Source organism: Homo sapiens, chromosome 8 (assembly GCF_000001405.40).
Source record: "Homo sapiens chromosome 8, GRCh38.p14 Primary Assembly".
Lineage (NCBI taxonomy): Eukaryota > Metazoa > Chordata > Mammalia > Primates > Hominidae > Homo > Homo sapiens.
This window is the reverse complement of record NC_000008.11, coordinates 26,513,920-26,538,393: the sequence shown is the minus strand read 5'-3', so window position 1 is coordinate 26,538,393 and position 24,474 is coordinate 26,513,920. Positions and strand designations below refer to the sequence as shown.

Genomic DNA, 24,474 nt, shown 5'->3' with positions numbered 1-24,474 from the left:
TGCTTCCTACACTTTTCTATGTGGTCATCCTCAGTTTTCATGCTCCACTGGGTTACTATAGTTCCTTTATTGTACTCCAGAGCTCTCCCATAACTATTTTCATTGGCAAGTAGCTGTTTGTTCATTGTTTTTGTTGGGGAGATAAGCACTGGTGCCTCCTAGTCCACCATCTTGCTGACATCACTCCTCCTCAATAAGTATAAAATTTTTCTTAATTGACATTACAGTGAATCGATCTGACAGCTACCTCCTTTATCAAGTGACCAGAGTTAAGATGACAAGTAATGGGATAAATTGACATCCTGCACTTCATGATAGGATTCTCCCAGAAGATCCAGCATTGCTTCAGATATAGTCATGACAAAAATGTATAAATCATGAAGCAACATCGGATGATTCCAAACTGAGAGGCAGTCTACAAAATAACTGGCCTGTAGTTTTCATTAAGTGTTAAGGTTATATGAGCCAAGGAAAGATGAACGCTTCCAGATAGAAGGAAAAAATACACGACAAGTAAATGATAATCCTGACTTGAATGTTGGACCTACTAAAGAATGTTATTGGATAATTGGTGAAATTTGAACAAAATCTGGGGATTAGAGGGTAGTATTGTATCAATGTGAATTTTCTGATTTTGATGGTTTCACTTTGGTCATGAAGAAAAGTAATCTTGTCTTTTATGAAATATACACTGAAGTATTAAGGGGAAATGGGGCATCATATCTGCAACTTACTCTCGAATGAGAAAAAATATACAGTTGTGTGTGTGTGTGTGTGTGTGTAGAGAGAGAATGATAGTAAGGTCAATGCAGTAAAATGCCAACAATGCAGGAAACTAGGTGAAAGGTCTACAAAAATTCTGCATCATTTTTGTAACTTTTCTTTATATTTTAAATTTCTCCAAAAGATAGTTTTTAAAAAGCTTTAAAAGCACAAGCAATTTTTTTCTACACAATATTGGATAAATAATAGCAAACGTTATAGGTAGATATGACAAAAACTAGCAAATGACTGGAGTTTGGGACCCCATGCTGAATCATCCTGCAGCTCCTGAACTTGTCTTGATTTTGCAGCAAGCGAAGGCAGCCTTCCCAGAATAGGCTCCACTAAATAGGAACGTGGAGGGTCAAAGCCATTCCTCAGCTTCTCCCAGAACATTTGACTTTGATTTCATTACCCAAATATTTAGGCAGTAATAATGATAATGGCAGTAATAATATTACCTAACCAACTCTGTAGGAATTACCTATACTTCCTAATAGCCCTTTGACATTAATTTAGCCATAAACTAATCTATTTAAGTCACTCATCAGAAAATCAAATTTTTAAGGCTTTCTACTTAAAAAAAAAAATCCGTATTATTTACCATAACCTCCATTTATATACTTGTCAGTTGGGAAGGAAGTGTCAGATTCAGTAGACATTTTCTCACCTATTCCCAAATAGAGTCCCTCTGGTGGCCGAGTCAAGATGTAGCTCATTTGCATCACCCTCACCATTCTCTCACTGCCTTTCCCATCAATACAGCTGCAATTCAGAATCTTGCCCTTCATTATTTCTCTATAATTTGCAAATGTCTCTCTTTTGTCTCTGGTATGCTTCCTTAAGACTTACTTACAGATTCCTCTTCATTCAAACACAATTTATTCCCTTTCATAAATTCACTATTCATGTCATGCCCACCTAATAATTTACTGTTTTGTTTGTTTGTTTGTTTGTTTTTGAGATGGAGTCTCTCTCTGTCACCCAGGCTGGAGTGCAGTGGCATAATCTCGGCTCACTGCAACCTCCGCCTCCTGGGTTCAGGCGATTCTCCCTTTTCAGCCTCCTGAGTAGCTGAGATTACAGGTGTGTGCCACTACCCCTGGCTAATTTTTGTATTTTTAGTAGAGACGGCGTTTCACCATGTTAACCAGGCTGGTCTCGAACTCCTGACCTCAGGTGATCCAACCGCCTCAGCCTCCCAAAGTGCTAGGATTATAGGCATGAGCCACCATGCCTGGCCTATAATTTACTTTTTAAAAAACACATTATGAGCCAAACACAGTGGCTCATGCATGTAATCCCAGCACTTTGGGAGGCTGAGCCCAGAAGTTTGAGATAAGCCTGGGCAATATGCTGAAACCTCATCTCTACCAAAAATACAAAAATTAAGGTTGGGTGCATTGGCTCACACCTGTAATCCTAGCACTTTGGGAGGTCGAGGCAGGAGGATTACTTGAGCCCAGGAGTTCAAGACTAGCCTGGGCAACTTAGCAAGACTCTGTCTCTAGAAAAAAAAAAAAAAAGGAAAAAGATACAAAAATTAGCTGGGCATGGTGGCATGTACCTGTAGTGCCAGCCACTTGGAAGGCTGAGGCTGGAGGATCACCTGAGCCTGGGAAGTTGGGGCTGTGGTGAGCCATGATCACACCACTGCACTCCAGCCTGGGTGACAGAGTGAGACCCCATCTCAAACACACACACACACACACACACACACACACACACACACAACCCATAGAGAGCTTATAATTTTGATGGGAAGAAAGTCGTATTAATTTGTAACAATACTTTACAAGGACAACGCCACTGTTTGTTAACATGAGTTTCTGTTGTTGCCACAGAATATACTGCACTATGTCCTGGCACGTTCATTTCAAAGCAATGTCAGCAAATTAACAATATCATCTTGACCAGCTCATCTAAGTAGATAATAATTAGTTTGCATCCCAGTTCATAACACTGTTGCACATGCTCCCTACACTGAAAAAAAAAATATATATATATATATATATCAGTCTGTTTTGTATAAACGGGCCCAAACATAGCATGCTTTTCTGTTTATTGTTTCCACTGCAATCTCTGTACTTACGTTCCGTGAAATGAATTCAAGTTTCAAATGAGAGCAGAAAAAGGTCATGAAACATCAGAGTATGACCTCTATGGAAAATCTCTAGTTGGGTTTTTCTTATGTGCCAGCCCGTGCTCCAAAACTTTATATGTATGACATATTTAAATCCCCTAAACAATCCTCATGTTATGGACTGGATTTTCATGTTCCCCTAAAATTCACATGGCCAAATCTAATCCCTATTGTGATGGTATCTGGAGGTAGGGCCTTTGAGAGGTGATCAGGTCATGAGGGTGGGGCCCTCACACTGCAGTTAGTTCCCTTGTGAGAAGAGAACAAAGAGCTAATTCACACTCCTTCTGTCACACAAGGAGAAAAGAAGTACAAAGTCTGCAATGTGGAAGAAGTCCTTCAACAGAACCCAATCATGCTGGCACCCTGATCTCAGACTGCCATCCTCCAGAACTGTGAGAAATAAATATTTGTTGTTTAAGCCACCCAATCTATGACAATTTTTTATGGCAGCTTGGACTAAGACACATAATGATGTAGACACTGTTCTAACCCTAATTTAAGTGATGAGGAAACAGTCATAGAAATGCTGTAGCTAGATAAAATACAAGATTTGGGATGGTTGTGGTGGCTCATGCCTATAATCCCAGTGTTTTGGGAGGCTGAGGTGGGAAGATTACTTGAGGTCAGGAGTTAGAGACCAGCTTGGACAACATAGACCCCATCTCAACAAAACATAATAATAAAAATTAGCCTGGCATGGTGGCCGATGCCTGTAGTCCTAGCTACTTAGGAGGTTAAGGCAGGAGGATAACTTGAGCCCAGGAGTTCAAGGCTGCAGTGAGCTATGATTGTGCCACTGCATTCCAGCCTGGGTGAGAATGAGACCCTGTCTTAAATAATAATAATAATAATAAATAAAATAAAAAAATACAGTGTGTCCTATATTTTCATTTGATAAAAGTGGCAACCCTACATAGAAAAAATAAGTAAGTTGACCAAGGCCACACAGCCACACAGCTGTTAGCAGTGGTAACTGGCTCCAGAGCTCACAATTTTATCTTGGAAATCCTGTAAGAAGTAAATGAGAGGCAGGGCATGGTGGCTTATGCCTACAATCCTAGTATTTTGGGAGGGTAAGGGGGGTGGATCATTTGAGCCCAGGAGTTCGAGACCAGCCTGGACAACATTTCTACAAAATGTAGCCAAGTGTGGTGGTATGCCCCTGTAGTCCCAGCTACTTGGGAGGCCAAGGTGGGAGGATCACTTGAGCCTAGGAGATGGAGGCTCCAAGGAGCCAAGATGGCACTACTGCAATCCAGCATGAGTGACAGAACAAGACTCAGTCTCAAAAATAAAAAAAATATTAAGTGAAATAGTCCATATAAATGGCTTAGCACGGTGTCTGGTATCTAGGAAGGATTCACCCACTAGTTGTCACTAATAATTCCAATAACCAGTCTTGTTGTTGCTCATTGAACTCCTCTGTTCCTAAGATCTTCAATATCCTTAACAGCCCACTACCATTTCATTCCTTGGACCTTCAAAGCCCATGGACTTCCCAGCTTCTTCCCAATTCCTAACTCCTAAGCTCTTCCATTCCTCTCCTCCCACACTGTTACTCATTCTCACCAGACCTGCTTTTCAGTTGCATTAATTAAGACCCTCTTGTCACTAGGCTGTCACTGGGTTCCCCCATCAGTCCCTGCCACCGCAGCAGCACGTCACTTCTTGCAAGCCTCAATTCTTCTACCATCTTTTCTCCATCTGGGATCTCCAGGAGTCCTCTCAACCTCTTCACCTGAGAACATTTGACAGCTGTGGTCATTGACTTCACTCCCGATGCAGCCTTTTTGGCACCAGTGGTTTCTCTAATGCTGTGTGGCAATGTTTTGTCTCTAGTTTCTTGCCATCTCCTAAAATGCTTTTGCTAATCAATAAATGGAGCTGGGACAACTGGACATCCACAGGCAAAATAATGAAGTTAGACCCCTGTCTCATACCACATAGAAAAATTAACTCAAAATGGATCCAAAATCTACAGGTAAAAGCAAAAACTATGAAACATCCAGGAGAAAACACAGGGGTAAGTCTTTGTGACCTTGGAATAGGAAATACGCTCTTAAATAGGATACCAAAAGTACAAGCAACAAAAGAAAAGATAGATAAGTTACACTTTGTCAAAATTAAAAGCATTCATACGTCAAGGACACTATCAGGAAAGTGAAAAACAATCCACAGAGCAGGAGAAAAAAATAATATATATTAAGGATGTAGTATCCAGAATATATAAAGAACTCTTACAGCTCAACCACAAAATGGCAAATATTCCAACTTAAAAATGGGCAAAGAATTTTAATAGACAGTTCTCCAAAGAGATACAAATGACATAAGCACATGAAAAGATGCTCAATGGCATCAAGTCATCAGGGAAATACAAACCAAAGCCACAAGAGATACTGACTCATACCCAGTAGGATGGCTGGAATCAAAAAGACAGACAATAACAAGTGTAGACAAGGATGCGGCGAAGTTGGAAACCTCATACACTAACCCTCATACACTGCTGATGGGAATGTAAAGTAGTGCAGCCACTTTGGGAAACAGTTTGGCAGTTCCTCAAAAAATTAGGGATACCAAATAACCCAGGAATTTTACTCCTTGATACATAACTAAGAGAAATGGAAACATATGTTCACACAGATTCTACCATGAATATTCATAGCAGCATTATTCATAATAGCTAAAAAGTGGAAACAACCCAACTACCTGTCAACTGATGAATGAATTTAAAAACAGGTATTATATCCATACAATGGAATTTCATTCACCACGAAAAGGAACAAAGTACTGATACATGTTATAACACCAATGAAACTGGAAAACATTGTGCTGAGAGAAAGAAGCCAGTCACAAAAGACCACATAGTATATGTTTCCATGTATATAAAATGTGAAAATAGGCAAATCCATACAGATAGAAAGCAGATCAATGGTTGTCAGGGGCTAGGGGTGGAAGAAATGGATAGCGACTGTTTACTGGGTTTCTTTTGGGGATGATGCAAATGTTCTGAAAGTGGACAATGATAATGGGTGCACATCTTGTGAATATCCTAAAAGCCACTGAATTATACACTTTAAAGGGGCAAATTTTATGGTATGTGAAAAATATTTCAATAGTAAATACTTGTACCAAAGTTCATTCCTCTCCTGAAGTAGACCCTGCTACCACTTGCCCTTGGAAGAAACTCTGCCCCTCTTCTTTTACCTAAAAATTAACTCCACCAGACATAAAGTCCCTCAAATCCAACTCTGACCTCATCCCTGGGTTCACAGAAGTTCCCTGCCACAAGAGAAAGCCCTGATCATCCTCCAGCAACTGTGTCCTCCTCTGTACTTGAAGCCAATCCCTCCTTTCCTGTCAGGGAACCACACCTGCCTCCTATCTCTATCAGTCCTGCTCTCCCTTCTGGGGCCTTCCTCTCTCTACACAAACATGATCATGGCTTCCACATCTTACCAAAAGCAAAAGACCTTCAAAAGGCACAAGTGCCCTCCCTGTGCCCATATCCCTGGCAAACCACCTGTCTTCCCAAAGGACACCAAGATGAGTTTCCCCAAGTACCCACCACTCTCCCAACCTCACAGCACATGGCAGCTGCCACTCACCCGCCATCAAGCCTGCTCCCACCAAGACCGGCACCTAAGCCCAACCAGTGGTGTCCTTTCAGGTTTCATCCTACTTCATTTTTTTTCTGCCTTTAATACTGCTGACCATCATGTACCTCTTGAAATGCTGTTGTCTCTCTTCCCTGGCTTGACTTTTAAATATTCATTAACATAAAATCGCCCTTTATTAAGCACCTGCTAATACCAGGCCCTGTACTTTCACCAGTCCTCTGGGCCAGTGTGAACAATGCTGTGGAACAGAGGTTCTGTCTATTTGTCTTATGTGGCACTGGAGCCCAGATCAGTTACATCTAAGGCCCAGAATAAATGATTCATCCCAGCTCTAGATGGCTCCAACATCCATGTTCTTTCTACCACCTCGCACATTCTCCCTGACTGATCTCATCCACCTCATGGGTTCAGACACCACCTCCTTGCCAATGGCACCCTATCTCTATCTCCAGCCCTAAAATCTCTTCTGAGCTCACTTCCAGCTGGTTGCAGAGGTTGAGAGGTGATCTCTGCATACCCAGGAGTGTTACTGCTGGGCCTGTGGGAACTTCCATGAGCCCCCGAGCTGCCCTTCCACAGGGATTAATGCCCCTGTGTTCTCTTCAGACCTCCGTTGTGGGCCTCCTCAATTTCCTCTGCTGTTTCCTTATTTTGTTTTCTGTCCTTGCTATGGTCTGAATGTGTCCCCCAAAATTCATGTATTGAAAACCTAATCCCCAATGCAATAATGTTAAGAGGTGGGGGTTTTGGAGAGGTGCTTAGGTCATAGCAGCTGAGCTCCCTCATCACCTTTTTTTTTTTTTTTTCTTTGAGACGAGGTCTTGCTCTGTCACCCAGGCTGGAGTGCAGTGACACAATCAGGGCTCATTGCAGCCTCAAACTCCTCGGCTCAAACCGTCCTCGCACCTCAGCCTCCTGTGTAGCTGGGACTACAGGCCTGAGCCACCACACCTAACTGGGAAGTCATTCAGTAGCAAGACCTCCCTGTCAAGACCTAGCATATAAGGAACTGGTCATGATACCCACTTTGCAAAGGAGGTAGCAGATCTAAAAGAAATAGGTGATTTGCTAAAGCCACCATCTGGTATACCATAAGAGCTCACTATAACTGGTGAAACTCATCCTAATCTTCTGCACACCACATTCTCCAGTGACTTTCCAGGAAATCTCAAGAATGAAGTTTGAAAAACAGCATCGGAACGGTTTCCTCACAGAAGTACATCTTACGTAACTAAATGGCCAGAAGGAAGGACAAAGAAATGACTGGTGATCATGTTAAATTTTTTAAAGGGTCCTAAAAACAGTCCAGAGTCCTATTGGAAATTGAGGAATTTGTAGAATGTCTGCACATTTCTCTCTATGGTTCTAAGCCTGGATAACTTCATGCAGGCTTAATTCCTGAATGCTCCATGACAATTTCAAAGTCCACATCCAATTAAGATGTGACGGAAATGCCATGGACCAATTGAATGTTATCACAAGAAATCATATGTCAAAGATATACATTTGCTGGTGTGCTGTGATGAAGCTAAGACAGCCAAGACAACACAGTGACTACAGTGCTCAGCGTCACAGGGTGATCTCATGGGAGGAAGGTAAAACTGACCCTACTTGGAAATCCTGCTTTGCTAATTCTGTCACGTCACTGAAATTGGAGGAGATTTAGTGAACAGAGTTGTAGATGATAGTTGTTGGTTTTTTTTTCTTTTCAGTTAATTCTTTTCTTTCTTTCCTTTTTTTTTTTTTTTTTTTTTTGGAGACGGAGTTTCCCTCTTGTTGCCCAAGCTGGAGTGCAATGGCACGATCTCGGCTCACTGCAACCTCCACCTCCCGGGCTCAAGCAATTCTCCTGCCTCAGCCTTCCATGAAGCTGGGATTACAGGCACGGGCCACCATGCCCAGCTAGTTTTTTGTATTATTAGTAGAAACGAGGTTTCAGCATGTTAGCCAGGCTGGTCTCGAACTCCTGACCTCAGGTGATCCCCTCACCTCTGCCTCCCAAAGTGCTGAGATTACAGGTGTGAGCCACCGTGCCCGGCCCCAGTTAATTCTTTTCCAGCCATCTTCACCACCAGCTTTGGCACAATCATATGTCCTGTCAGAAATATAATTCATTTGTAAAAAAAAAAAAAAAAAAAAATTACGGTTAAAATTTAAAAATCCAGCAGTTGGATGGGCAGTTTTGGACTCCATTGGTTTTAGTGATGTGACTATAACTCTGAACATGCATCAAGTTTTTAAAAGAAAAATTATAGGCAGCACAGTGGCTCATGCCTATAATCCCAGCCCTTTGGTAGGCTGAGGCAGGAGGATCCCTTGAGCCCAGGAGTTTGAGACCAGCCTGGAGAACAAAATGAGGCCATGTCTCTACAAAAAATTAAAAAATGAGCCAGGTGTGGTGGTACACACCTATAGTCCCAGCTACTCAAGAAAATCACATGAGCCCAGGAGTTCAAGGCTGCAATGAGCTATGATCACATCACTGCACTGCAGCCTGGGAGACAGAGAGAGATCCTGTCTCTAAATATATATATAGATAGATAGATGATAGATAGATAGATAGATGATAGATAGATAGATAGATAGATAGATGATAGATAGATAGATAGATAGATAGATAGATAGATAGATAGATTTAAATTTATATATATATGAGGCCAGAATCTTATAACGATCTTAGGCCTACTATTGCCAGCTAGTAGTGCCATATGAATCATGCCTTTCTATTCTGTTTTTCTGATGCTTTGCCATCTGGGGCCTTGCCGATCCTGGAGAGACTGCACCTCCCAAGCTAACCAATTCCTAGAGATAGTAAAATGACTCTCCTGCAGGCATGTCTTTCATATGCAAACCAACTAATCCAGAGCTCACACTCCATCCTCCTCCTTCAGGAAGCTCTTAAACTCAGGGCCAATATCCACCTACCCTAATCACCCCAGGGTCAGGAACCAGACATTTAGGGACAGCCACTATGCTCCAGGGCCCATCAATGTTATCCAAACTGGCCTCCCTAAACCTGTTTACCCTTCCTCTCCTATTCCTTCCCTGAAACCACAATAAAGGCTCTTGGCCACCTATTTCCCTGCTCCCTCTGCCTCCTGCCCAACGTGGTGCTTCCCAGAGTGGCGCTGCACTGCTTTCAGTGCCTCCTGTTTCCAGGGATCTGTGAGTATTATTTCTTTCTTTTTTTTCTTTTTCTTTTCTTTTCTTTCTTTTTTTTTTTTAGACAGAGTCTCCCTTAGTCGCCAGGCTGGAGTGCAGTGGCGCGATCTTGGCTCACTGCAACCTCCACCCACCGGGTTCAAGCGATTCTCCTGCCTCAGCCTCCTGAGTAGCTGGGGCTACAGGCGCAAGTCACCATGCCCAGCTAATTTTTGTGATTTTAGTAGAGATGGGGTTTCACCATGTTGGCCAGGATGGTCTCGATCTCTTGACCTCGGGATCCACCCGCCTCAGCCTCCAAAAGTGCTGGGATTATAGGCATGAGCCACCGCGCCCGGCCCATTTCTTTCTTTATGACAGTCATTTACATATCTGTGTGTCTCACCATACCTGATCCCAGGTGCATTTTGAAACAATTGCCCATACTGGTCTGCCAGGGGCCCTGTCTCTCTATTCAACAGAAGTCACAACTCCTGGAAAGGGACCGTGCAGGAAGTGGGATTAGGGGCAGACAAGGAGAGGCAGAGGTGCCACCTCACCAGTGCTGTTCTAGCAGCTGATGCCAGGTTGCGTGAGGCAGTGTTCACAAATCTGGGTCAAAATGAGACACTGGGCATGGAGGCTTATGCCTGTAATCTCAGCACTTTGGGAGGTCGAGGAGAATCACTTGAGGCCAGGAGTTCAATACAAGGCTGGCCAACATGGTGAAACCTCGTCTCTACTAAAAAATACAAAAATTAGCTCTGTGCTGTGTCGCGTGCCTGTAATCCCAGCTACTCAGGAGTCTGAGGCAAGAGAATTGCTTGAGTCTGGGAAGCAGAGGTTGCAGTGAGTCCAGATCCCGCCACTATACTCCAGCCTGGGTGACAGAGCAAGACTCCATCTAAAAAAAAAAAAAAAAAGGATAAACAAATAAGAACCATACATTCAGTTTTTTATAAGGCCCAAATTATACATATTTTTTTAATTCTGGGATTAATTTCCCTTTATGATTTCAGTGCTAAGATGTTGTTTATTTTATGAAATAATATTGTGATAATTTTTTAATGTCTTTATTTGGCAACATAAAAAGTTGGCAACAGCCCCCCCAATTCATTTTTGAAATGTGCGTGTAAAAACCCAAACCAGAAATCTCTGCACCAGAAAATAAGAATTGGACAAGGACCTGGTGCTTGAAATGACCAATGTATGTTATCAGAGTGAGGCCAAAGACAATTTACACACTTTTCTGCCAAAAACATGGATTCCAAAGGGATTTCACCTGAATTGAAGATAAATACAAAGGAAAAAAATAAGCTTACGAAAAATTACTACACCACAAGGGATAGGACAGATCATCCTTAAAAAAATTTTCAGGAAATTATTTAGCATCTTCAATGAAGGGTAGGAAGATATCTCTAAAACAAAAATAAAATACCAGAGAATATAACTTATCACATCAATCCCTGATTTTAACAGCATATTGAGAAACAAAAAGAGTCACCAAGAGCTGACCTGCCAGTCACAGCAGGGTTGGGCATTCTCCTGTTGAACAGAAATGATTTCAGGGACCGTCAGCAGCAGCCAGGCCACTCTTGTCCAGGATGGACCAAGACAAAACTAGCCCACTCCCCAGTCATATTTAATAAAATCTGAATATTGGCTCAAGCCACAAAATGCCAAACTCCCCCATTCTAACTAATAGGAGTGATCACTGCTTCTTTGTCAACTACAGCATTAGCCTCAGTCTCATCTGCCCTGCTCTGCAGAAGATGCACTGAGATGCCCAGTCATAGGATTGTCCCCACTTTCTGATATCACCCAACCCAGAGGACACCCTCACTTCCTTGGGCCTCCAAAATCAACCAACCAAAGCCCAGATCCTTCTCATACCCTTGGACAGAGGCGCCCCATGGATCCCCCGTGGAACACACCAATGGGGGTCACTGCAACAAGGCACAAACCCAACTGGATCGACTACAGTTGTGTTCCTGGTAGTCACTCACTGAAGGACATTGACAATATGCTCAAGTAGCAATTAAAAGATGATTCTTTAACATGATAGAGAGCATCGCTTTCAAACAATGACAAAAGAGGCCTTTTCATCAGTCAGAAATCAAACAGGGAACCCTAATATTATCACCATGGTTCTAGAAGTTATAGTCAATGTAATCAGACAAGGAAGAGAAATAATGAATAAAGCCTTTGGCAAAAAACGCACAAGACTATTATTAGCCACAGATAATAAAACTGTCTAAAAAGAATCAATGGAAAACTATTAGAACCAAGAGTGAGTTCAATAACATGACCTATTGCTAATTAATATAAAACCCCAGAGTTGGCAAGGTGGCTCACTCCTGTAATCCCAGCACTTTGGGAGGCCAAGGTGGGTGGATAACGAGGTCAGGAAATGGAGACCATCCTGGCTAACATGGTGAAACCCCGTCTCTACTAAAAATACAAAAAGTAGCCGGGCATGGTGGCACATACCTGTAGTCCCAGCTATTTGGGAGGCTGAGGCAGGAGAATCGCTTGAACCCAGGAGGCAGCGGTTGCAGTGAGCCAGGATCATGCCACTGCACTCCAGCCTGGGTGACACAGCAAGACTTCATCTCGAAAAAATAAAATAAAATAAACCCCAGAGTCTCCCAGAAAATAAACTACCAAATATAACAGGGAAATTTCCCGTTCACTATAGTAACAAAACATCTAGAAATAAATCTAACAAGAAATGTCACAGAAATAAAACGAAATATCTGAATAAGAGGTAAGACATAATATAAACTTAAATAGAAAGACTATTTTAAAAATACATGTGTCTTAAAATAACTCAATATATAAATTTAATATAATTCTGGTTAAAAAATCATATCAGGTTTCTGTAACTAAAAATATCTGCAATGGAAAGCACATTTGAGTGACGGGGAAAACGAAAACTAAAGATATTAAAGAGCTACAGTAACTAAAGCAGTATTGAACCACCGTGGATTTAGTAAACTGGATCAATGAAACAGAATAGAGAGCTAAAAAACTGATCCTGGTGTATATAAGAGGTTCAGCATATTAAAATATAAGTGGTAAAAACATCAATTGTTCAATAAATGCCATTGGAAAAACTGTCTACTTGAAAAATTAACTTACATGTTACTTCAAGTTAAAGACAAAACTTAATTATCAGATTAAAATGTAGATAAAAATGAAATTCAGGCTGAGCATGATGACTAATGCCTGTAATCCCAGTACTTTGGGAGACAAAGGCAAGAGGATTTCTTGAGCCCTGGAGTTCATGACCAGCCTGGGCAACATAGTGAGATCCCATCTCTACAAAAACATTTAAAAGTTAGCCAGCCATGGTGGCATGTGCCTGTAGTCCCAACTACTCAGCAGGCTGAGATGGGAGGATCGCTTGAGCCTAGGAGGTCGAGGCTGCAGTGAACTTATGATGATGCCACCGCACTCCAGCCTGGGTGACAGAGTAAAACCCTGTCTCAAAAACAACCCAACAATTTCAAAAACTCATGAAATTCAAAAAGATTTTAGGAGAAAGCACAGGTAAATAATTATATAATCTTAAAGTCAGAATGACTACAAAGGCAAAAAATACGTCAGAAAAAATGGATCAACTTAATTTGTAAATTTTAAATTTGCATGTCAAGAGATCAAAGCCGTTTAAAAATTAGAGGAAAACTAAGAAAAAATATGTAGCAGATGACATTAAAATGAATACATTTTAACATGTAATTTTTACAAATCACAGTCTGAAATATGAACACAGATAGGAAAACCGTCAAACAATAGGATACTATTTGCCACCTATAAACTTGGGAAATAGCTCCAACAACTATAATATCTAGTGATGTCAGGAATATTGAAAAACAGTAATTCTCTCTCTTTTTTTTTTTTTTTTTTTTTTTTTTTTTTTTTTTGAGACAGAGTCTCTCTCTGTCCTTCAGGCTTGAGTGCAGTGGTGCAATCTCAGCTCACTGCAACCTCCGCCTCCCAGGTTCAAGCGATTCTCCTGCCTCAGCCTCCCAAGTAGCTGGTATTACAGGCACACGCCACCATACATGCCCGGCTAATTTTTGTATGTTTAGTAGAGACGGGATTTTGCCACGTTGGCCAGGCTGGTCTCAAACTCCTGACCTCAGGTGATCCGCCCACCTTGACCTTCCAAAGTGCTGAGATTACAGGCATGAGCTAGCGCGCTCGGCCCTCATTCATTTTTAATGGGAATTTAAAGCCTGGAAAATATAATGCAACAAAATACTATCCATGGTTATTTTTACGCAGTAAGATTATGGATGATTTTTTTCTTTTTAAAAATTTGTTTACCAATGTCATCTACAATAAACATGGTACTTACTTTTGTTATTATTTCTTTAAAAAAGAACAAAATAAAAATTGAAATCAGAATGTCTGTTCAGCAAAGGACATAATCTTTTGTGAAAAGATGCTCAACAATGAGACAAAACCACAATGAGACACCATCTCCCATTCAGTAGGATGATGTCTATCAAAACAAACAAACAAGAAACCTACCAAAAAATAAGTATAGGCGAGGATGTGGAGACACTGGAAACCTTGGGAACTGTTGTTGGGAATGTCAAATGGTATAACCACTGTGGAAAACTATATAGTAGTTTCCTTTAAAAATTAAATAGTTATCAAATTATCTAGCAATTCCACTTCTGTGTACACACTCGAAAGAATTGAAAGCAAGGTCTCAGATAGATATTTGCATAGCCGTGTTCATAGCAACATTATTCACAAGAACTAAAAGATGGATAACCCAATTGTCCACTGATGAAAAATGAACAAATAAACAAAATGTGGTCTATACATACAATAGAATATCTTCAGTCTTGTTTTTTAAATTCAGCCTTAAAAAGGAAAGAAATTCTGGGCCAGGGGCAGTGGCTTATGCCTGTAATCCCAGTGCTTTGGGAAGCTGAGACAGGAGGATTGCTTGAGCCCAGGAGTTTGAGGTTACAGTGGGCTATGATGGCACCACTACACTCCTGCCTGGGTGACAGAGCAAGACCCTGTCTCTTAAGGAAAAAAAGAAAAAAAAAGTAAGGAAATTCTGACACATGCTACAACATGAACAAACTTTGAGGACATTATGCTAAGTGAAATAAACTAGTTAAAAAAAGACACATACTCTTTGATTCCACTTACATGAGGGTCCTAAAGTAGTCAAATTCACAGAGACACAAAGTAGAAAGGTGATTGCCAGGGGCTGGGAGGAGAGGGGAATGAAGAGTTGTTGCTTCATGGGTACAAAGTTTCAGTTTTGCAAAATGAAAATAATTCTGATGATTGGTTGCACAACAATGTGAATATACTTAACGTCACTGAACTGTACACTCAAAATTGTTAAGACAGTAAATTTTATGTTATGTGTAGTTATTACAATATAATTTTTTTAATTGAACTCATTTATTTTCCCAAATTTATTAGTTTAAAACTCAGCTTGTTGGTTGCTGCCTTCCTCAACACCATCCCTGCCACTCCCAAATCATTGGATTAGAAAGCAAATTTTAAATATTATTTAAAAATATATATATATATATACATGTATGTCTGTATACATACATATATATGCACACACAAAGAAGGAGTTTTTTACATATGAACAAGATCTTCAGATAGAAGAATCAGGCTTATTCAGTGCACAAAACACTCAAGAATACTGAGCTACTACAAATGCTATTCTAAATGAATTTCAAAGCTCCCCAAGGATTTAGTTACATGATTCTAGGAAATTAGGTACTGGAACTCTTTCAGTAGATTTCAGATGATCCAGCAGTTTTTAAGAACAGCCGGGGATAGTATAATACCAAAAGCATAAGCAACAAAAGAAAAAAATAGATAAATTGGATTTCATCAAAATTTAAAACTTTTGCATACCATCAAAAAAGTAAAAAGATAATCCACAGAATGGGAGAAAATATCTGCAAACTATAGATCTGATAAGGGCCTAGTATCTAGAATACATAAAGAATTCATACAATTTAACAATATGATAAATAACCCAGCTAAAAAAAATGTACAAAGTTTTGAACAGACATTTCTCCAAAGAAGACACACAAACGGCCCATAAAGCAGGAGAAAAGATGCTCAACATTATTAGTTATTAGGGAATGCAAATTAAAGCCTCAATGAGATACCAATTCCCACCCACGTGATGGTTATAACCAAAATGAGGAAAATAACAAGTGTTGGCTAGGATGTGCAGAAGTTGGAACCTTCAAATGTTGCTGGTGGCAACGCAAAATGGTACAGCTTCTACAGAAAAGAGTGTGGAAGTTCCTCGAAGAGCTAAACATAGAATTATTACATGACCAGCAATTCTACTTCTAGGCAGAACACAAGAAAACTGAAAACATTTGTTTGTTTGTTTGTTTGTTTGTTTGTTTTGAGACAGAGTCTCACTCGGTTGCCCAGGCTGGAGTGCAGTGGTGTGATCTTGGCTCACTGCAAACTCCGGCTCCTGGGTTCAAGCGATTCTCATGCCTCAGCCTCCTGAATAGCTGAGATTACGGGTGTGTGCCACCGTGCCCGGCTAATTTTTGTATTTTCGGTAGAGATGGGGTTTCACCATGTTGGCTAGGCTGATCTCAAACTCCTGACCTCAAGTGATCCGCCCACCTTGGCCTCCCAAAGTGCTGGGATTACAGGCATGAGCCACTGTGCCCAGCCTTAAAAACATATGTTTAAACAAAAACTTGTAAAAAAATGTTAATAGCAGTATTATTCCTAATAGCCAAAAGGTGGAAACAACCCAAATGTCCATCAAATAATTGGAAAAACTAATGAATAGGATACATACAAAACAATGGAACATTATTTGGCCCTAAAAAGGAAGGAAGCACTCATACATGTTACAACATAGATGAACCTTGAAAACATTATACTAAGTGAAAAACAAAAGCAGACACAAAAGGCCATATACTGTATGGTTCCATGTCTATGAAATGTCCAGAATAGGCAAATCCACTCAGGAAAAAAAAAGCAGAATGCAGATTAGTGATTGCTAGGGGATGGGGGGAATGGGAAAAGGAAAGTGACTGCTTAATGGTACAAAGTTTCTTTTGGAGGGGTGATGAAAATGTTCTGGAATTAAACAGTGGCAATGGTTACACAACACTGTGAATGCAGTAAAAGCCATTAAATTGTGCATTTCAAACCTGCCAAAATAAGAATTTTATGTTAAGTCAATTTTGCCTCGATTATAAGAAAAAAAAAAAAAGAACAGCCATGGGCAGCATAGCTTTCTTTCAGAGCCTTCAGTGGAAATGGATAGAAGGAGCATTAGAGATTCCTAGGACAGCCCAATGACCACTGAGGTTAGATGACTGTGCAGGTCACACAGTCAGTCAATGGCAGAGCCAGGACTACCAGCTGGCTTCACTCAGTGCTTTCTGCAGAGTGCCCTCAGAATCAGAGCCCATGCAGGTTATCTGCATATTCTCAAAAACAAACACAAACCACCTTTAAGACCAGGCACTTGCACGTAAGACAGTATTTGTGTGCAGTACCTATGGTACTAGGTTACCACCAGCTGCAACCAACTAAATCAAGTGTCCATCAGTCCCACCTGCCAATGCTTTTATTGATGACTCTTTCATTAGTTTCATTTGCTTGTATTTCATGATTGTTATGGACTTTGTGTTTGTGTTCCCTTCTCCAAAATTCCTGTGTTGAAATCCTAACCCCTAGTGGAATGGTATTAACAGGTAGGGCCTTTCGGACGAACATAGGCCATGAGGGTGGAGCCCTCATAAGCAGGATAGTGACCTTATAAAAGAGACCCCAGAGACCTCCCTTGGCCCCTTCCACTATGTAAGGACACAAGGAGAAGATGGCAATCTGGAAACCATAAGGTGGGTCCTCACCAGACACCAGATCTGCCAGCATATTGATCTTAGACTTCCCAACCTCCAGAACCATGAGAAATAAATGTTTCTTGTTCAAGCCACCTGGTCATGGTAATTTGTTGTCACAGCCTAAGACAATGATTTACATCAAGTAGAAAAATTACACTGTCATCTCACTGCTCTAATTTCTAATCTTAGAAAAGCATGTCATTCATACTATCACAGTTGGCTTTTGTCCCAGGGATATTTGAAGACATTTCTTGTGTTTTAAAAAATGATAGACAGAATGTCAGCAATTTAGGGCACATTCATAAAGACAGATCAACAGTCCATTTTATAAATGGCTCCAAAGAGTACACTGAAAAAAAAAAAACAGGCATTCAGAACTTTTTTGCAAGAATACATTATTTGGAGATAAAATGAGAAAAAATAATTAATATCAAAAGCAAATCAGTATATATTAGAGTGATAGAAAAAGCTCTCTAGTCACATATCCCCGGGGTTCAGGCCCTGCCTCTGGCTTTTCATTAGTAGGTTGCTTTATGTATTAGTCTGTTCTCACCCTGCTAATAAAGACATACCTGAGACTGGGTAATTTATTAAGAAAAAGAGGTTTAATGGACTCACAGTTGCACATGGCTGGGGAGGCCTCACAATCATGGCAGATGGTGAAAGGCATGTCTTACATGGCAGCAGGCAAGAGAGAATGAGAACCAAGCAAAAGGGGAAAACCCTTATAAATCTTGTGAGACTTATTCACTGCAATAAGAACAGTATGGGGGAAACCACCCCAACAATTCAATTATCTCCCTCCAGGTCCCTCCCACAACATGTGGGAATTATGGGAGTACAATTCAAGATGAGATTTGGGTGGAGACACAGCCAAACCATATCATTTTACAATTTACTTTTACCTTTATATATTTCATTTGCAAAATAAGAATAAGAGTAACATCTACTTAATAGAGTCATCTTAGAATTAACAAAATCGTCCATACCAAGCATTTAGCACATGACCTACACCATAGAAAATATGGAGTTTAATGGGATGTAACATATTTTGCCTGCAAAATTAAATTGTACCCTTATGTTTACTACATATCTCTGGCAGTGTAACTGAGCCACGTAATTGACTATTGGAAGAAATACGATACTAGATTAGGAAATATTAGTTCAAATCCTAGTTTACATACTTACTAAATAGCAAGACCTTAGGAATTGGCTAAGTAAATATCACTAAATCTCGGTTTCCTTATTTACAAAAAGTAAATAATGCCTGTATCAGACAGTGTTGGGGCAAGGTTTTATTAATAGAATAATATACTCTAAACATTCTAAAATGTAGAATCTAGAATTTAAAAGCACATTCTAGAGTTATATAATGCTACATAAATCACATGGCTTTACTGATAGAGGACTGCAGTGGGACTGAAAACAAGAGACCTCTCTCCCAGTCCTGGGACTATCACCTGGGCTCCAAGGAATGAAGTAGTTTTCAGGACATCACTTTCTTCACTTCTAGAATGAGGTAATTAAACAATCATTAGGTCTCTTGCAAGCTCTGACATTCAATGATAGTACACATTTGAATCTATAATCAATTCTGACTTCCCCTTCTTGCTCAAGAAAGTAAAGAGGGATGCTTGCATCAAAGGACCCTGGAATACGTGGCCTGTCTTTACCAGGCTGGAAAAACTCCCCAGCCTCACCCTGATTTCCATGGTATAGAGCCATGAGTTTGTGAACCACATAACATTGCATATGCAATATGCAAAGGTCATGGCCAGAAGTTGTCACTGGCGGTCCAATGACAGCAATTCTCCTCTCTATCCTTGAGCTCCAAGGAGAAAGATGGTAGATGCTGGTTAGCTGGTAGGAGTTTTCTTCTAGTTAGGTTATAGGCCCCAGACCTGGGGAAGCCTATTTCATCCCAAATCTAATCCTTCTTATTTCCTGCCACAATTAATTATTGCAGGCCAATTAATTGAATAGCAACTTTTTAAATCATTAAAGACTTGTTATAATTTAACTAATTATAGAAATATTATTCAGCCATAAAAAGGAAGGAAATTCTGTCACATGTTACAACACAGATGAACCTTAAGGGCATTATGCTAAGTAAAGTAAGCCAGTCGCAAAGAACATAAACGGTGTCATTTCACTTATATGAGGAGTCTAGAGTAGTCAAGCTGGCAGAGACAGAAAAGAGAATGGTGGTTGCCAGGGGCTGGGAAGAGGTGGAATGAGAAGTTGGTGTTTAATGGGTACAGAACTTCAGCTTTGGGGGATGAAAAAGTTCTGGAGATTGGTTGCATAACAATGTGAATACACTTAACACCACTGAGCTGCACTTAAAAATGGGTAAGGTGGCAAATTTTAGGCTATGTAAAAATTATTTTAATTTAACTAATTATATGATTAGTTCAATAACCAGCTGGGAAATCAAGAGCAAATAATAATTATGGATTTTCATCCTTTCCTTCCCCTCTCCAATTATCCCCCACCCCCACTTTCCTCCTTTTGAACCCGGGTGGGTCTTAGGTTTTTTGGAATCCTGAACACACAAATGCTTGTATCTCCTGTTTTGAACCAATATGACCTGTAAAGTATCAAGGTATTGCCTTTATTCCAAATCTCCACCACACACCCCACTAACCACACATTCGTTTTGTTTAACAGGCTAGTCTATTATCAGACACGGATCTCTGGGGACAACTTGGGCATCAGTTGTTTGCCTGAGGAGCAGATGGCTTTAATCATTGGAATTTCTCTTTAACTAAGATTAATGCAAGTTAAGAATTCTGAATGGGAGAAGGGAAGCCAAGACTGATTTTAGAACCTGTTGCCCTTTGGAAGAAGAAAGGTCTAGAAGGGGCATGCTATGGGGATGGAGTAGGGATGACGTTGTACAGTTAGAGGGCAGCACAGCACTGGGCTCCCAGGGCCAGAAGAGATTCAACACAGGCAGAAGGGATGGGGACCCAGATGGAAGGGAGCACCAGAAAGCACTTCACAGACTCAGTAACATTGCCAAGCTCAGCAGCACTGTGCAGTTCATTCAGCGGCACCTGCCCTGGAGAGGAGGAGAATCACTCCCTGTCACTCCAGCCTGCATAGGTTGTTTGCTGCTGGGAAAAGGGCCTAGAGGCCCCTTTGAAAAGCATTCTTATGGTCCAGTATTGCTGGTGGAGCCACTGGTTCTGGCTACGCTGTGTCTGGAGTGGAATGGAGGAAGTTCCTAGGAGGAAGGGAAGAGGCTGAAGGACCCCTGGGCACTGACAAGGGGGGATTGGGCCAACAGAGATGCCTTTCTTCTCTCTCTTCCAAGAGGCTCAGAGTCTTTCACAGTGGTGATCAATGTAACCTCACTGAAGCCCAAAGTGGACTTATAGGAAAAAGAGAGTAACAAGATAGAGGCTTTCCTCATTCACAACCACTATGCCAGCTCTTTTCCTCCGCCAAAATCTGACATGCCGAGTCAAGCCACACCCATCGCTTTCTGGTGCTGTCTGGCTCATACTCTGAATATAATTTCATTTAGTTCCTGCAAATGCACATGTCCAACATCTCTCATCTTCCATGAGCCATGTGGCATGTGGGTCAAGGAAGCCTATTCTCTCCCTTCCCAAAGCCTTGTTAGGGGAACAGCAGGCCTCTTAGTGCAACAGATGAGCAAAGCCACATCTGACCATACATTAGTAACACATAAATAAAGCTGCAAGAGAGGAGGGATGGTGTGAGTCAGGGTCCCAGGATCCACCCATTCTCAATCTCCCCCACCTTTCTCTGCGTCAGGGCTTCCAATTAGAATGCACAGAGATGCTGGCACTCACCCAACTCATTCGTTGAAAACCAACTAATGACAAGTCAACTCAGTCAAAATGGTGGGCCAGTTGAGCTTTTCGGAAGTCACATTGTTATAAATATAAACACATGTATAGCCACAGCCTTTCCCCTTTTCTAAAGACATGAAATATTGAAACATTGCAAGTACTGATCCAGGTAAATGCTCTTAGTCGTGAATGACAAAATCTCATTGAGTAGGCCTTATATGATAAGGCAAGATTAAACATGAAAATTCAGGGGAAGGTGCTGCAGAAAGGCCAAGCTAGAATCGCCCTCTGTTACTAATAACTGGGCAACTGAAATCAATGTGAATTGCAATCTAAAACTCCCTTGCAGTTTGTTTGAGTATTTTCTCTTCAAATCTCCCCCTCTGCGTGCCTTAGTTTTACAATTTAGAATTTCATATATCTAAGCTTCTAAATGGCCAAGAAAAAAGAAGTGTTATTCAACCCGATAAAACTATGCCTTTCAAACTTGAGTTCTAATTCATGATAGGGGTGGGCCACTTTCAACCCCTATCCTCTGATCTGCCACTTTTTACATGATTTCTTCTTTATTCTCCAGTTGTTTTTCTGCTTTCTCTAGGACATCACAATCACCAGCACAACTCGCCATGCATGAGGCTACTCACTCAACCAAGATGCTATATGATTTTGGCCCTCACTCAATGTACTCACACAGGGAAGTGTTTCACACACACTCACTCAGCTTTCAGTATAAGTTACATTATTAGAAACTTTTACTTCAATTGTCTGATCACTTGGAACAAAGCAAGTTTTTTGGATTTAGTTTCTTCTGGTTGACTCATAGTGAAATATGGATATGAGACACTCCCTTATATGAATAAATTAGAGGGCAGGGCTGGGGTTGGATATAAATTATTAGTTGTGTCACCTTTTACAAATGACAGCAAATGCCTTGTTTTTCCTAGACTTGACCCTACAAAAGTCAAAAGCTGCAAAACTCTATGTCACATCAGCAAACAGTCAAATCATGCCCCAACCATCATCACCAATTCTGAATTGTTCTCAAAGGCTGTCACTGTAAGTACACAAATGTAAATGCTTGTGGAATCCCTCGCTGAATATGTATAGACCACTCCCAACTACTCTGGAAGCCCTCTGAGAAGAAGAAACCTCTTGCACTTTCTATAACTAACCTTCCCTCTGCCCTACAAGGCAAGGCGCACAATAGGTATTCAATCAACAATCATTCATTGATTGACTTATTATTTTTACCAGCAGGCATGGGAGAGAAACGGAAAACGTGTTAAAACATTTTGCATTGTAAATTATCAGTTAAGAAATTAAGGCTGTGGAAAAGAATTACACTAGTGTAAGGATCACTCAGATAAAGAAAGAATTGTGGTGTGAGATTATTACTGCGCTGAAAATGCTCACTGTTCATATTTGTCAGAAAGTGACAAACATTTTCTAAAATCAAGCGTGACCAAATTGGCCTTTGTTTCCCCCATTAACACAATAAAAGGGGGTTTAGTCTTCTTCGACAGTCTATTTCGAGTGCGAGGGGTTTTCCCCCTTTTCTTGTCTTTTTGACCCTTTGAACATAATCCACTTAGTTCCCCGCTTCCTAAAGCGCCTCCCACATAGCGGTTTGGGGAGCGCTCTGTGAAGCCCCGGCTGAGACACTTATTGGAACTTTGTTCCCCACATAGGCTATTTAGGAGCGTCTCGGTTTCCTCGGGTGACTCCACAGCCTTCCTGGCTCTTCTCACGCTGCGAGCAGGAGTCAAGGGCGGTGCGGTGCTCGGAGGGGGTCCGGGGGGCGCTGACCATGGTCCTGGCCTCGGAGCTCGGGACGTGAGCGCAGAAGGCGCGGGCGGAGGCTGTAGGGAGCGGCCGTCCGAACCCCCGCCCCTCCCGACCACCGGGGAGCCGCGGGCCTTCACGCAAAGCCTCCACCGCACGCTCTGAGCCGCTCAAAAAAAGGGTGGGGCACCCAGCCGCAGCTGCAATCGGAAGCCGCCCGGGAGGGTTTCAGAAGAATGGAACCGCGGCCAACCCCCTCCCAGACGACCACCGCCCGCCCCAGCAGGGGATCAGCCCATTCCCTATGCCCACGCCCCACCTCTCAAGCTCAAGGAGACGCGGGCAGCCTTTGTGGGCGCACGGCCGCCCACCGCCCAGCCCGAGCCTCGCCGCACCCTGCGCGGAGAAGGGGCGGGTAGGGCGGGGTGCGCGTGCAGATGCGGGAGGCGAGGTCCAGGGCGGGGCATGAAGGCGGGCGCGCCGGGCTCAGGGGCGAGGGAGGGGCGATCCCCGCGCCCCGTCCTCCGTCTCCACCCCCAACCCCCACACCGACCTGGTCGTTGATGTTCTGCAGGGCTTCTTTGCCCGAGGCCCTCCGGATCTCCACCTTCCGGCCCGATTCAACAGATGGCTCTCCGCCGGCGCGCCGGCCCTGCCGCGAGTACGGCGGCTGCGGGTCCGGGCCCAAGTGGGCGACGTCCCGCTGCTGAGCCACCACCTGCCCCGAGCCCCGGCCCACCGACAGCGAGTCGAAGTCGATGGTCTTGTTCTCCGAGGACCCTTCCACCGGGCAGAACATGCCACAGAATTTCTGCCGGGGCTTGGGGCTGCCGGAGCCCAGGTTTTTAAAAAAAGCAGGGACCTCTTCGTCCTCTGCCGCCTTCCCGGATTGCTTTCTCTCGGCCATGGCTCGGGGGCTCGGGTAGGGTCCTCGCCGTCCGTCCGTCCGTCTGCCAGTCCCTAAGTCTCCCTCGCTGTGTGCACAAGCCCCCTAGCTGCTGCCGCGGCTGCCGTTCGCCGCCCACCGCAAGGTGCACAGAAAGGAAGGAGGGCTGGCGAGCCGGCGACCCACCCTCCCGGTCCCTCCCCCTGACCCCGCTTCTCCCCTCCCTGCCCACGCCCCCCGCGGCTACAGCGCGAGCTCGGGGAAGCGGCAAAGTTGGATCTGGGAGGGCGTCCGCTGCGGCTGCGGGAGCCGAAAGGCTGCCAGTTCCCGGCAGCGCTGGGAGGAGGGAGGCGCGGGCGGGGCGCGGCGCCGGGGAGGGGAGCGGTGCTCAGGGGAGGGCTGGAGGGGAGGGAAGGAGAGAGAGAGG

General features: G+C 42.5%; 1 protein-coding gene across 1 annotated transcript in view; it reads right to left on the bottom strand.

Annotated features, from left to right (window-relative positions):
* The window catches only part of DPYSL2 (dihydropyrimidinase like 2), a 144,145-nt gene extending 119,782 nt beyond the window's left edge, over nucleotides 1-24,363 (bottom strand). The window contains exon 1 of the mRNA NM_001197293.3: nucleotides 23,715-24,363. Within this exon, the coding sequence (NP_001184222.1) occupies nucleotides 23,715-24,068 (354 nt within the window). The 5' untranslated portion in view covers nucleotides 24,069-24,363. The remainder of the gene's footprint in view (nucleotides 1-23,714) is intronic.